Source organism: Homo sapiens, chromosome 3, assembly GCF_000001405.40.
Source record: "Homo sapiens chromosome 3, GRCh38.p14 Primary Assembly".
Taxonomy (NCBI): Eukaryota; Metazoa; Chordata; class Mammalia; order Primates; family Hominidae; genus Homo; species Homo sapiens.
In genome coordinates, this window is record NC_000003.12 from 97,596,421 (window position 1) to 97,611,877 (window position 15,457).

Genomic DNA, 15,457 nt, shown 5'->3' on the forward strand with positions numbered 1-15,457 from the left:
GCCATACACAAACGATAGGAGAATAATAAAGCATTAAAAATAAAATTCTACATTAATAGTGATGGAGTAACATATAGAAATTTCATGAATTCACTTTCTCTGTCACTTCTCAGCAATAACTATCTGACATCATATGGTATCTTAAATCTACATAAAATGCAACCATTACAATGTGTCTCAAAAATTAGACCAACCTATAAGATGTAAAGGCATGTTTATTATCTGCTAATTACTCAGCAAATCATATCTTAAGGTTGAATGTGTTCATATCTACAAAATTTTAGCTTACTTTTTTGTCCCTTTTCTATCAGTTGTGAGACTTGATAATATTTTTTACTAATGAAGTAACTCATATACATATATATATATATATATATATATATATATATGGGTTATGTTAGTTTAAGGTATACATTTGAGTTTGGTCTAGCAACAATTCCATATATATCTATGGAATATATATATATATATATATATATATATATGTATGTATATATGCCAGATTGGATTATAGATATATAGAGATATATACAGAGAGATAGATAAATATGGAATATATATATATGGAATAGGTGGGTGACCAAACTCAAATATATCTTAAACTAACAAGTTTAAGATATCAATTATAAGAGAAGTCTATGAAAGAGAGAACTAGGAAACAGGCAGCATGTGGGACTTGGAAATAGACAAGCTGTGAGGGAATAAAATCAGTGTTGAATATCTCCCTAATATTTCCTTTGTGGTTAATCGTAGAAGCTCTTTAGTTATTGAAGGAATATTCTTCTGAGGTACCCTCTCTGTTTGCCTGCCTGTGCTTTAAGTACAATGCTATATGTATAATACCTCTTTTGACATTTTTACCTGAGCTTCTCTCCATTCTATGACTTGTGTTAGGTTCAAAGGAAATGGCAAAGATAGCGTGAGACTTCCTGTCTGCTGCTCTGAATCAAATAACAGGAGAATTATGAACACATGGGTATTCAAAAACTATATTTGCGATTACTGAGTATATAATTAAGAATAATGTTTAATATTGTTTATTTATTTATCCTTTGGAAAGAGATTTGGATGAGCCTTATACTCAAATACCAAGCATTTTGACATCCTCACTGCTATTCTCTGAGTAGCCATGTTAGAAAATGGTTTAACAACCCAGATTTCTATAAACCACATATCCAATAATGTCATTTCTATAGCAAAGGACATACAGTCCTCAGCCAACATTAAAATGTCTTTACAGTACACTAACAATGTTTATCAATATTTTCCTTTCCACATTTCATGTGAAATCTTGTCTGGGCTGAAGTCAGGGAAAATATTGTATTCACTATTATACAGTCAAAAATATTTTTATTCAGAAAGTATATGGCTTAGATGTTACAAATGGAATGTAAGTAAGCCAGGAATGATAAATAAATTTGAAGCTCTAGAAAATCTAGGATCTGGTGGATATAATATTATCAAGTTTTGATGCATATAGAGGACTGTAGAAAAGTAGTAATGCAAATATATAAGACTAGGTGGCAGACTTTGGAGAAATGTACACTAAGCTAAGGAAAATTGGCATAAACTCAATATGCCAAGGAAAGTCAACAGTGGAAAAGTATATGCATTTTAAATATGATCAAATTGCACTTCAGAAAAATCAAAGTAGATCATTTTATTTCTTCATATTTTCAGACATTCTTTAAAAAGTTAGTACCCATTTTTATTTTTTATTTTTTTTATTTTTTATTTATTTATTTTTTTTGGAGACACCTGTTTGTTTATTTTTGCCACTAATCATTATACGTTATTTAAAAACAAGAGATGATTAAATCCATCTTTCAGGTCATTTAGTTAAGTTTTTTTTTTATTATTATACTTTAAGTTTTAGGGTACATGTGCACATTGTGCAGGTTAATTACATATGTATACATGTGCCATGCTGGTGCGCTGCACCCACTAACTCGTCATCTAGCATTAGGTATATCTCCCAATGCTATCCCTCCCCCCTCCCCCCACCCCACCACAGTCCCCAGAGTGTGATATTCCCCTTCCTGTGTCCATGTGATCTCATTGTTCAATTCCCACCTATGAGTGAGAATATGCGGTGTTTGGTTTTTTGTTCTTGTGATAGTTTACTGAGAATGATGATTTCCAATTTCATCCATGTCCCTACAAAGGACATGAACTCATCAATTTTTCTGGCTGCATAGTATTCCATGGTGTATATGTGCCACATTTTCTTAATCCAGTCTATCATTGTTGGACATTTGGGTTGGTTCCGAGTCTTTGCTATTGTGAATAATGCCGCAATAAACATACGTGTGCATGTGTCTTTATAGCAGCATGATTTATAGTCATTTGGGTATATACCCAGTAATGGGATGGCTGGGTCAAATGGTATTTCTAGTTCTAGATCCCTGAAGAATCGCCACACTGACTTCCACAATGGTTGAACTAGTTTACAGTCCCACCAACAGTGTAAAAGTGTTCCTATTTCTCCACATCCTCTCCAGCACCTGTTGTTTCCTGACTTTTTAATGATTGCCATTCTAACTGGTGTGAGATGGTATCTCATTGTGGTTTTGATTTGCATTTCTCTGATGACCAGTGATGATGAGCATTTTTTCATGTGTTTTTTGGCTGCATAAATGTCTTCTTTTGAGAAGTGTCTGTTCATGTCCTTTGCCCACTTTTTGATGGGGTTGTTTGATTTTTTCTTGTAAATTTGTTTGAGTTCATTGTAGATTCTGGATATTAGCCCTTTGTCAGACGAGTAGGTTGCGAAAATTTTCTCCCATTTTGTAGGTTGCCTGTTCACTCTGATGGTAGTTTCTTTTGCTGTGCAGAAGCTCTTTAGTTTAATTAGATCCCATTTGTCAATTTTGTCTTTTGTTGCCATTGCTTTTGGTGTTTTGGACATGAAATCCTTGCCCATGCCTATGTCCTGAATGGTAATGCCTAGGTTTTCTTCTAGGGTTTTTATGGTTTTAGGTCTAACGTTTAAATCTTTAATCCATCTTGAATTGATTTTTGTATAAGGTGTAAGGAAGGGATCCAGTTTCAGCTTTCTACATATGGCTAGCCAGTTTTCCCAGCACCATTTATTAAATAGGGAATCCTTTCCCCATTTCTTGTTTTTCTCAGGTTTGTCAAAGATCAGACAGTTGTAGGTATGCGGCGTTATTTCTGAGGGCTCTGTTCTGTTCCATTGATCTATATCTCTGTTTTGGTACCAGTACCATGCTGTTTTGGTTACTGTAGCCTTGTAGTATAGTTTGAAGTCAGATAGTGTGATGCCTCCAGCTTTGTTCTTTTGGCTTAGGATTGACTTGGTGATGCGGGCTCCTTTTTGGTTCCATATGAACTTTAAAGTAGTTTTTTCCAATTCTGTGAAGAAAGTCATTGGTAGCTTGATGGGGATGGCATTGAATCTGTAAATTACCTTGAGCAGTATGGCCATGTTCATGATATTGATTCTTCCTACCCATGAGCATGGAATGTTCTTCCATTTGTTTGTATCCTCTTTTATTTCCTTGAGCAGTGGTTTGTAGTTCTCCTTGAAGAGGTCCTTCACATCCCTTTAAGTTGGATTCCTAGGTATTTTATTCTCTTTGAAGCAATTGTGAATGGGAGTTCACTCATGATTTGGCTCTCTGTTTGTCTGTTGTTGGTGTATAAGAATGCTTGTGATTTTTGTACATTGATTTTGTATCCTGAGACTTTGCTGAAGTTGCTTATCAGCTGAAGGAGATTTTGGGCTGAGACAATGGGGTTTTCTAGATATACAATCATGTCGTCTGCAAACAGGGACAATTTGACTTCCTCTTTTCCTAATTGAATACCCTTTATTTCCTTCTCCTGCCTAATTGCCCTGGCCAGAACTTCCAACACTATGTTGAATAGGAGTGGTGAGAGAGGGCATCCCTGTCTTGTGCCTGTTTTCAAAGGGAATGCTTCCAGTTTTTGCCCATTCAGTATGATATTGGCTGTGGGTTTGTCATAGATAGCTCTTATTATTTTGAAATACGTCCCATCAATACCTAATTTATTGAGAGTTTTTAGCATGAAGGGTTGTTGAATTTTGTCAAAGGCTTTTTCTGCTTTGTTTCTTGGCCAAAAATAAGACTCCTCATTATAAACCAGGTGAAAACTCAGCCATTATTTAACCTTCCTCCCCAACCCTGATTTTGAAAAGCCAAGGCTCTACTCTCTTCCCCAAGAAAATGGACATGTGATCATGTATGTAAGTGTTTACATACAATTTTAGGAAGTCTCTGGACATCCTAAAGTTTGCACACAAAGAACCCCTGGTTCTAAAGAATTCAATGTTCTATATATAAAGTTATGCTGAACTGACATAAGTGAGCATCATCTTTATGTAAGACTAGCAGTGCATTAAAAAAAAAAAGCTACGTGATGCATTTGATATCAAGCTCTTGAGCATTACAAAGAGAATTTCTATTTTTCTCCTTCCAGAAAGACATGAAAAATCTTAAAAGAGCCTTTAAGTAATCTCTAGATTTTTTTAGTAGTTCTTTTTTACTTCTCTATTTTCAGAATTTTTAAATAGTTCTAGCCTTTGGCCTTAACTAAGCCTTCTTATTAGCATAAATGTTTCTTTTATCTTAATGTCATTTGAATAAGTTTGAATGTTAAAAATAAATATGATATATATATGGCTATTTAAATTCTCCATTGAGAGCATACCTACTCCCTAGATATCTTCATGTTTTATTATTACAGATTGTGCCATTTATTTTGGTCTTATTCAAAGAAACTATCAGCACTTTCAAAAGATGCATTCAAAATCATTTTCTTCTTACAAAGAAAAATTCTGAAAATCTTTCCATGGCTTGCTAAGTTAGCTGAGTCTTCATGTAAATCAGTATTTACTATTTGTGCTGATTAGTATTTTTTTGTAAGGGAGGTTTCACCTTAATTGGGAACATAATAAGAAACTAGGCTGCTCAGCTGTCTATTCCTCTCCAGAGAGCCATGTTGAGCCGCACAGGATAGCATACATGCCCTCATGGGATGCTGGACCACTTAAAAATATAACTAACATGGAGACAGACCAGCCCTGCTGTAAAACATGTGTTGGCTCAGCCTTCATTGTTTTGCTTTGTAGGACAAATCACAGTGGAAGCTGCCCTATGACACCATGTTGGCTTTTCATATTTATGTTCACAGAGGTCTTAACAGCGAGTGCATTTATCAAAGCAGAACTTTTTAAAAATTAAACATTTGGAAGAGTTGCAGAAAAGATTAAGAAATAAATAGTTACTTGCCTGGTGCATTGGGGGTGGGGGGAAGGAAAGTAGTCAGTGGTTTAATTATGTCATATGTATGACTATTTAACAAATATTTTTGCCATTATAATTAAAATCACTCTGTAAATTACCTACGTAGTTAGAATACATGAAATATATTCTGTTTGGGGTTTATTTTATTTTTAAATTTTCTGATAATTTTCTTTTGACAGTGAATGATACAGAAAAGCCGAAAGCAAAATATTTGAACATTTATTTAATAATAAGACATTTTTCAAGCCAGAAGTAAAGCGTAGCATTTGAAATACCACTGGAAAATATGATGCTTTCTACCAAAAGCTTAGAGACTCTCTTAAAATATTCAGGATGTAACACTTTCTCTAGTGTCTTCCCCAGAGTTTTTGCAAAAGCATATAACATTGCTGCTCTTTAATGTTCTCATATATGCCTCTTACAACTGAAATTTCAACTGCTAAGCCTTGTCTTTTTAAGCCAAATTTGAGAATATTAATATAATATAAAACAAATTTATTTTTAATGGAACCTTAAGATTATTAATATAAACTGATGTTTGAGAAAGCAAAATCTGAAGGTTTTTCCAATCAGTGTCCTTAGTACATATTTCCTGTTTGTATAGAACGTTTTACAGCTTTGTAGGCCTTTAAAATCCTGGAATTTCTCAATAAAATATCCCAGGGAGCAACACAGTGCCTAGTTCATAATACCCTTCCAGGATATTTCTAGGATAAGACACAGAGATTTGGGGTAATGCTTTATGCTCCTCAAATTACTAGTGGAGACAAGCTTTACTTTGGGGTATAAGGAGATGGCCAAGCATTCAGACTCTGGAACCAGATTGCCTGGCTTTAAGCCCCTGAGCTGCCAATTGCTCACTGTGTGTCCTTAGGCAAGTTGCTTAAACTCTCAGTGCATCAGTAACCTTACCTGTTAAATTGAGCTAATAATTACACTTGCCACAAGGGTCAATATGAGGATTAAATGAGTTTAAACATGTAAAGCTCATAGAACAGTGCCTAGCACATTGAAGAACTTATAAAAAATTATTCTTACCTACCTGCTGATTTAGAGTAGTATCTATTTTTAAATTATACAAACAGATTTTAAAGAAGAAAACCAAGAACTAAAGCAGCATATAATTATTTATTTGACATGTAATTTAATTTAGTTTTGAACTTCGACATTATATAGTATTTCAAGATATGAAAATTCCTTGCTGTGTTTTTTTATTGCTTCCTAATAGTAATTCAACTATTAATTATTACATAACCACTTCCTTCATAATTTTGGGGAAGCAAAAATCACAAATAATTTCAAAAGATATGCTTTTAATTTGTATATCACCATTACTTTTCTAAATGTGAATGTAATACAAAATCAAGAAAGACATTCTTAAAAACTCATTTGTTATTAAAATTTTTCAATATGGTTAGTATCTTATAGTAAAAACAATCCAACATGAGGCAAATTTGTCAGTAACTTTCATTGTTAACAAGACACTTTTAGTTAAGAAGAAACCTTTTTTCCTATATGATAATTTCTAGCAGGAAGGAGGACATCACTGAATATTACTGAGGTCAACTGATGCAGATGGCATGCCACTGCTCTCTGGAACCGGCAGGAAAATCATGTTTTGTTTCTCTAGCCTCACACCTTCCATTTACTCTAACAAATCTAGATTAAGAAATGTTACTATTTTCATAAATGCAGATCACCTTTCCTAATTTTTGCTCAGCTCTTTTATCACTAGAGAAAGTATTTTTTCAGCATTTTTCCAAGGGTATTTGGCTTACCACTAAATTTTAAAAAGGAAATGAAATAAATTAAGGGGGAAAATGGAATCGAATCATCATAGTGACTATATAAACTGAGGGTTTTCAAATCACTCTAAGATTAAAACCGTCAATTCTAGATTAACCATAAAACATGTTACAGGCAAAAATCTGTAAACAGAGTGCAGAAGATACAACATAGATTGTTAATGGGAATAAGAACCTACTTTTAGCAGATGTTATTGTTAAGAAATTATATGTTATAGTATGTTATTTAAAATAGGAAAATACTCATATAAATTGTTTTACTCTACCCTAAGAGAAACCATCTTGTTCATTGAAGCAATTTCAAACCTGTCAATTTCAGGCATATATGATTTAAATGGACCTTTGAGACCATCAGAGAGCTCCTAAATTTACTGACACTAGTCATTTTACTAATGAACCTTATTAGCTCTGCAAACCACTTCTTAGCTTAGGATTCAACATCTAGTCAGTAAGGTAGCATATAATACTCAACATATAGCCATTCATTTAATTAGCTGTTATTGGGTGACTCAATATTCAGTATTTGGTTCTATTCTCTGTTTTAAACACATTATCCTTTTCATCTCACCACCCTAAGGAGGAGGCTATAATAATATACCTATATATAATAAAATCAATAATAAGATACAAATGAGGAAATTAAATATGCCAATGAGAAATATATAATATTCAAATGAGGAAACAGAGACAGTGAGTTGAAAAGTGAGTTAAAAAAGGTTACTTGTCCAAAGGGGAAAACATCTCCAATATCAGGCTATGTGACTCTAATCTTACAACTTCAACTGTACTGTGCTGGGTGAGCAAAATATAGAGTAACCAATCATCCTAGTTTGCCTGGGACACAAGAATTTTAGTGCTAAAACTGGAAGTTTACTGCATCATATGAAACATCTAACTAGCAATAATTTTACTTTCACTTAGCCAAAGATGAAAAAATAATTTTCATGTCAATACCAATCTGCAATAAAAAATAAAAATTTTCTATTTTTTTAAAACTTTTTGTGACATAGTGTGCAAACATAATAATACAGAAGCAGATACCTATGCACAAAAGGAAAGGAAAGTAGATGGACATCAACATTTTAGTGACAAACATTGTGCTAATTATATATTTTCTCATCCGATTATTTCAAAAAGTTTATGTAGAACATGATATTATTCTCATTTTATAGATGCAAAAACTGAAAGAGCTAAAATAACTTCCCTAAGATCATGCAACTACTAGTTAGAGGAGCTGAAATTTGAATTTTTCTGTCTTCAAAACAATAGTTTTGATAATATAACTAATTTAGGATTAAAAATTATTGATTTGCCATTCTGTTATTTCAGTAAATCTTTTGTAGGTCTGCAATTGTTCTTGGAGAACATTCTTATGTGTGTGTTTCTTCTGACATTCAACTCAAAAAATATGAAATTGAATACCTACTCTGTGCCTAGCTCTGTGCTTAGATAGTGACCTTATAGAGAAGAATTGGGCATTTAGTCCTGAGGTCAAAGCCACTTTAGAATGGGAGACAGACACCTATGTTGTTAACATTAATACTGTACCGTAAGTGTTCTAAAATTGATTGAGATATAAAGGGAGGAGAAAGTAAACTGTCAAGACTTCCTAAAACAGAGAAATTCATAGGAGAGTTTACAATGGAGATGATATTTAAGCTGCTTTTTTTTTAAAGTATATGATTTTTGTCAAGTAGAGATAACAAGAAGGCAGTCTTCCAAAGAAGAGAGGAAGGTGCAAGTAAAGTAATATTCAGGAAATTATGAGTCACTGAGAGAAATTGTAAAGGAGCCATAAACTCTTTGCCAAGGCTAAAGTCAAGAAGGGTATTTCCTAGGTTTTCTTCTAGGATTTTTATAGTTTGAGTTCTTACATTTAAATCTTTAATCCACCTTAGGTTAATTTTTGTGTATGGTGAAAAGTAGGAGTCCAGTTTCATTCTTCTACATATGGCTAGCCAGTTATCCCAGCACCATTTGTTGACTAGGAAGTCCTTTCACTATTGCTTGTTTTTGTCAATTTTGTTGGAGATCAGATGGTTAGGGTGTGTGGCTGTTTCTGGATTCTCTATTCTTTTCCATTGGTCTATGTGCCTGTTTTTGTACCAGTACCCTGCTGTTTTGGTTACTGTTGCTTTATAGTATAGTTTGAAGTTGGGTAATGATATACCTCCAGCTTTGTTCTCTTTGCTTACAATTGCCTTGGCTATCTGGGTTCTTTATGGTTCCATATGAATTTTAGAATAGTTTAATTCTGTGAAAAATGAGGTTGGTAATTTGATGGGAATAACATTGAATCTGTACCTTGCTTTGGGCAGTATGGCCATTTAAATGATATCAGTCCTTCCAATTTGTGAGCTTGGAATGTTTTTCCATTTATTCATTTCATTTCTGATTTATTTCAGCAGTGTTTTGTAGTTCTCTTTGTAAACATCTTTCACTTCCTTGATTAGTTGAAAAACAGGAGATATGGGAATAGGGTGAAGTAAAAGATAAAACTAGAAATTAAGGTAAAGAAGAGATTGTAAATGAACTTAATTACCAAGCAATTTAGACGTTAATTCTGCAATAAACAATGCAGTCTCAAAATAGCGGAATGAGGCATTAGCGCTTTATACTAATTGACTGTTTAATTATTTCTAGTGCCCTTCCTACTATACACCCCATGAGAGCAGAGATCTTGTATTGATTGACGATATGTCTCCAGAACTCAGAAGAGTACTTGCTACCTAGTAGGCATTTTAAGAAAATTTTTTGTATCACTGAATGTTCAAAAATAATGATTTTTCAAGAGTTAGCTTACAATGGGAAACCAGATAGGAGCAAAGAAACCAGTAAAATATTACTGAGCAAGAGAAAGCAAAGGCAGAATATGGGCAGTGGCAACAGATTTTATGTAGAATCAATAGAACTTCATAACTTATGAACTAGAAAGGGTTTAATAAAGTGAGGAGTCCAATGTCACAAAAGGGTTTCAAACCTGGATAACTAGATGGATGGTGATGTTTTAACAACACAGGATTATAACAGGAAAAGAAAGTTCAAAGGAAATGTTAAAAGTTTGGATTTGAACTGAATGAGGATGAGATGTGTTTTGAACGTGATCTGATAATCATCAGGCAACACCATAAGAAGAAAACAGTTCTTTAATTTGAGTACTTATGTGAATAAAAACAATGATTTAATATAGTATAACTGTGTTCAAATGGCATCATCCATATCTTCTGAGTGCCTTAGAGGCATAAGAATATTTCATTTATTATCAAACCAATTTGAGATTATAATTGTAATTCACTATCTCTACAACAGAAACATGGAAGGTAGAAATAGATTAAATAACTGGTCCAAAGAGTCCTGAGTTGCAACTGGGGGAAAAAAATACAGGCACTCTAACTGTATTTTTTACAGTGATAATCTAAGTTATCACCACACATTTTATTGCCTGGTAGACAAAATATAAACTTGATAGTATGTTAAATAACTGAATGACTTAAATCTGTAATAGAGTTTTGAGGTTGTTGAGATTTGTTTTGATTCTTCATTTTACTGACTGCACATTAGAAATTGCCAAACTAATAGAGAATACTACATCCAGTACAAACTCATTTCATTACATGAAAATGTTAAGTCTCTGTTATCCTCTTTTTTTCACAAATATTGTCTGAGGCAAAAAAAAAAAAAAAACACAAAAAGATTTCACTGGCAAAATACTTTAACCAGGGTATCTATGGAACATTTAAAGAATTATTTTGTTTTCTTTAACAACAGCATGAGAAAAGTGTAGTCTTATGATTATATAGTTTATCCACATCACCTTTATCAAAATCATCATAAGTATTAGGGAACATTTGAAAAATATATATTGGTCAATATTCCCTTAAAGTCTTAATGTAAGAAAATAATTTTTCTTTTCTATAACAGAAAAGGATGATAAGGGGTTTTTGCAATCCATCGTCTCCAGAATATCAGTAACTGATTTCTTAGAGGATCTTCATTCAAATGCAGTTTAAAATATTCATAAGCATTTCTGGGATATTTATGAAGGAAAACCTAAGAAATTCACCTTGTGTGACTTGTAGAAGTATCTTTGAAAGTCTCTTAAATCAAATACATGAGACTTGAAAATGATCTGGGGATTTCAAGAATTGACTAATTCAAGAAGCCTGGTTTGTCCACTGACTTTAGTATGATGCAAATACTAAGATGATTCTGTGATATGAGGCAGAAGGGGTGACTGGCTAAAATTGTACAAAAAGAAATAAGGTGTAACATTTTGAAAATTTAGAAAGAGATAATAAATTACTTCCCAATATATCTTCCAAGAGCAATAATGCAATATGTAATTTTTACGTACTGGAAAAGACCAAAAAACACTGTTGCCAATAGACTTCTCTCACCTAAAACAGATTTAAAGATTAACATCCTAATTTTCATAGTTTCCCCTGTACTTATCTATTTTCTTGATTATAAAATGTAATCATGGATTGTAAAGTTGCTTATAATCTTCACAGTATGACTAGTTTCTTCTCTGTTGAAAACCAAGACAAATTACAGGCTAGATGGAGCAATAGTAAAAAAAAAAAAAATTCCTTAGTTCAATTAACAGCTGTTCTCAGTTGATGCTACTGCACAAAATACAAAAGATTAAGAGTTCAAATGTGAAACTTCTAATTCACAGGAAACCAGGGAAGCCTTCATTTGATTTTTTATTATTCTTAATGAGAAGATAGAACTTGTTACTGATGAATTTTAAGATTACCTAAAGTATCTCCCAAAGAGTTATAGGTAGAACTAATTTCGAAGTACTGTATATTCACATAGATCAGATCTTGTTGAAATACTCCAGAGTGAGTTTCTTAGGAACTATGAAATCAAGAAAAGTTAACTTGTTTTTATGAAGCACCTACTATGATTAGCTCTATGGCAAGTGACCTTGAGAAACCCAGTGAATGAGGATACAAAGCATTATGGGAAAATAAGAAAGAAAAACAACTTAATATAAAAACAGGCACAACATTTCATAGTGTACACAACAGATGTGATGGAAATGCAACTATGAGAAATATCACTGTGAGAGACTTTTAGGGAAGAGGTGTGTTGTATAAATTCTAAGGGAGTGGGGAGAGACGGTAAGATTAGAGAGAGAAGCAAATTGGGAGATTATCCTGGCAGGTGACTACAAAAGTAAAGGAAGAAGGAGACAGGATTAAATAAATACAAGTACTAATAACAACTGGTAAAGCCGTGGATACAAAGGCTAGTTAGGAAAGATGAGGTGCATCACTGGAAAGAATTGACTAACAGGGTGAGACTTGGAGCTTTTATCTATAAATGCTGTCTGAAAGGCACCTATAGCATAAAGGTTAAGATCTCAAACTCTGAGACAGACTACTTGATACTGCCACTTACCAGCTATTTGACTTTAGACAAGCAGTTTAATTTTCTATCCCTCAATTTCCACATCTGCATAAGAAAAATAATTATGGCATGTAGCAATACAAGTGGAATGCTTGCAAGCTCTTTTTATTCTAGTAAGACTGGTATTCTTAAGGGAAGGATAAATGTTTGTTAAAGAAAATAAAAACTAAAAGTATTCCTCTGACAGCAACAGTCAAGACAGATTAAAAAGCTGTGACTCTGCAGGCAGGGGAAGAAGACATCAGGCAGTCATTGTAATAACCCAACTTTTCCCATTAACATTCAGAATCCATCATCATTCAAAATGGAATATTGGTCTCAGAATTTTTATATTTAAGTACAAAAACGACCTTTTATTTTCCCCACCTTGCTACCTCAGTGTTTCTATCAGTCTCCTACCTCCAACCTCTCTGAAACTATAGCCAAATAAAAGATTTCATGATTAACTTTAAGGTTTAAAACCTGAATTTTCTAGATCCCTGCCCACAAGAGTGCTGACAGTTCAGTTGACCTCAATAATTGACGATAAAGTTCTTTATTCATATTTGGGTAAAATTAATGACTTTGAGGAACATTATAGAATATAAGTTAATATTCACTACAAATGGAAAACTTCCTTGGGTTCTAATTTTATGCATGATAAATTGGGAGCTTTATTAATACATTTAACCTTTAGCACATCTTTATTTAAAATATAGATTCAAATGTAAAGTCTAGCATTTACATACATTGTACTAATTCGTAATAGTCACCATCACCCTTTCTAACCCACAAGGCTTTGAGTTCATAAAAGGAACATGAATTACAATATGTAATATTTCCATCATTGGTACACATCAGTTCTTTCTAGATCTCCTTTGTGTTTGTAAGGAAAAACTGTGCATAGTGCAGATTGAAAAGTTAAAAATTCCAACAAGAAGTGAGAAATACAGAAGTAAAAACTAAATATGTCATACATGCTTATTTCAGGTGAATACCATTTCCCCTGCATCTGAAATGAGTTTATCTTTTAAACTTGGGCAATTGGGCAGAACAAATGCATTCACTTCTTTGAAATAAAGCAGTTATTTATGTCGAATATTCTACCTAATAGAGGTGTATTGGGAACTATAACAGTGTACCAATTGATATGATAAAAAAGGAAAGAAAATATGTTCAGTTTCTGATCTTATCTTCTATACCAGACTACAAAATCAGAGTTACTTATTTTTCATGTACTGCCATCATTGCTCTGTTGATTAAATCTATGTCCAATGAAGACATAATCAGGAACTATTACAAATCCTACAAGCTCTGTAGCATTCATCAATCTAAAATTTTTCTGCTTAAAGGCCCTTAAAATCAGACTATGACCGATGGTTTATAATTTCTTTGAGAGAATTTATGAGTTTCTCCTTTCTGCTTTGCCTTAGGAATATTTCAGAAATGCCCACTGTAATATAAGTCAGGCAAAATTGCTGCACTGCCTTAGAAGTTGTACCACAACTGCAAAAGCAGCTATAATAACTGCTTAAATCCTGACTTCAGCTTGTTGATTGTTTTCTAAGGAAAAACTAGAGGACAAAAAGAACATAATCTAAACAAGTGATTGCAGGGCTTTAGGAAAAGAAGTACCTAATTCCTTTGTAATTTATATTGTAATTCATGTCCCTTTTATGAACTCAAAAGGAAATAATGCTATAAAGAAATATAGAGGTGCCTATGTATAATATGAATACGTTTATAGAAGCAGGCTGGAAAATGAAATTCCTATTAATAAAATACAAATAATTTAGTTGCCACAGCTGGGTATCTCTTAACTGCAGCACATATTTCTGTAATTGCTCTAATCCATGTGTATTCTCTTGCTCTTTTGCAGGCAGACCAGTAATGATTGTGGTGGAATATATGGAGAATGGATCCCTAGACTCCTTTTTGCGGGTGAGGTGTTCTTTTCTGATGGCATTTAAATAAGCTATTCTCAGTTCTATATTTAAATCATTTATCATAAATTAATTTTTGCATAATGTTATTCATGGATTTTCTGTGAAGAATAGCAGTGTTTTCTCTAGGGTGCATTTCCCTGATACTGTGATACATTAGAGTGTTACTAAGGGGGGAGGATGTACACTCAATAACGTAATTGATTTCTCCTCTAAATTCACTTGCTATATGTGTGTGTATATATATGTGTGTGTGTGTATACCAAATAATGTTATCATGAAGAAAGATTAAATGAAACTCAATTGCCTCACAGTCATTAATTTTGCTTTATCACATTTAACTATGTAGTATGATATTGTATGCATTATCTATAATGCTGAACTCCTTAACTGATCTGTATTTACCAACAATGACTCAAGTTCATTTCAGAAAATGTTCTATCAACTTTGTCCTTCTTCAGTTCATTTGGCTGACTATTCAGAAAACAAAGGGAGGAGGAATAAAACTCCTTTAGCAGAGATTTCTTTTACAAAAACATTATTTTTAAAGTGATTTATCTTTAAAAGTATAGTATATACGAAAAGTAATTTATTATAGATAGTGATACAAACATAAACTGAGAAGGCACCAGGAAGTTAGATTTCAAGGTATATTTATAATACATTTAAGATTTGAAAAAGCATCATGTGCTATGAAAATATTCATTGATAGTGAAAAAAGTGAAATATAAAAAATAAATGCTATAGTAAATATTTTTCATCCCCAGCAAAGGTCATATATTTGCATGTCACTGTATTTTTAATATCTATCTATCTGTCTATCTGTCTATCTATCTATATATATATAACTATTTTTCTCACTTACAAAATGGCTGGACTTTGCCACTTGGGATGTTACATTATTTTTCTTCTTTATTTTCATGTGAAAATAAAGCATTCACTTCACTTCGTTTTTTGCCCCATGTTATGTGAATAAGTTCTGTTTGCATCTCATCTTTCTCTCTTGATCTCATTTTCATTT

The 15,457-nt window shown here is 32.9% G+C and overlaps 1 protein-coding gene across 16 annotated transcripts in view; it reads left to right on the forward strand.

Annotated features, from left to right (window-relative positions):
• The window catches only part of EPHA6 (EPH receptor A6), a 946,939-nt gene that overhangs the window by 781,827 nt on the left and 149,655 nt on the right, over positions 1-15,457 (forward strand). For all 16 annotated transcript variants that reach the window (XR_001740110.2, XM_017006211.2, XM_006713592.4 and 13 more), the window contains one exon: positions 14,373-14,434. Coding sequence is in view for 15 of the 16 variants with exons in the window: in XM_017006211.2 (XP_016861700.1) it covers positions 14,373-14,434 (62 nt within the window). In the remaining variant the exon portion in view is untranslated. The remainder of the gene's footprint in view (positions 1-14,372; positions 14,435-15,457) is intronic.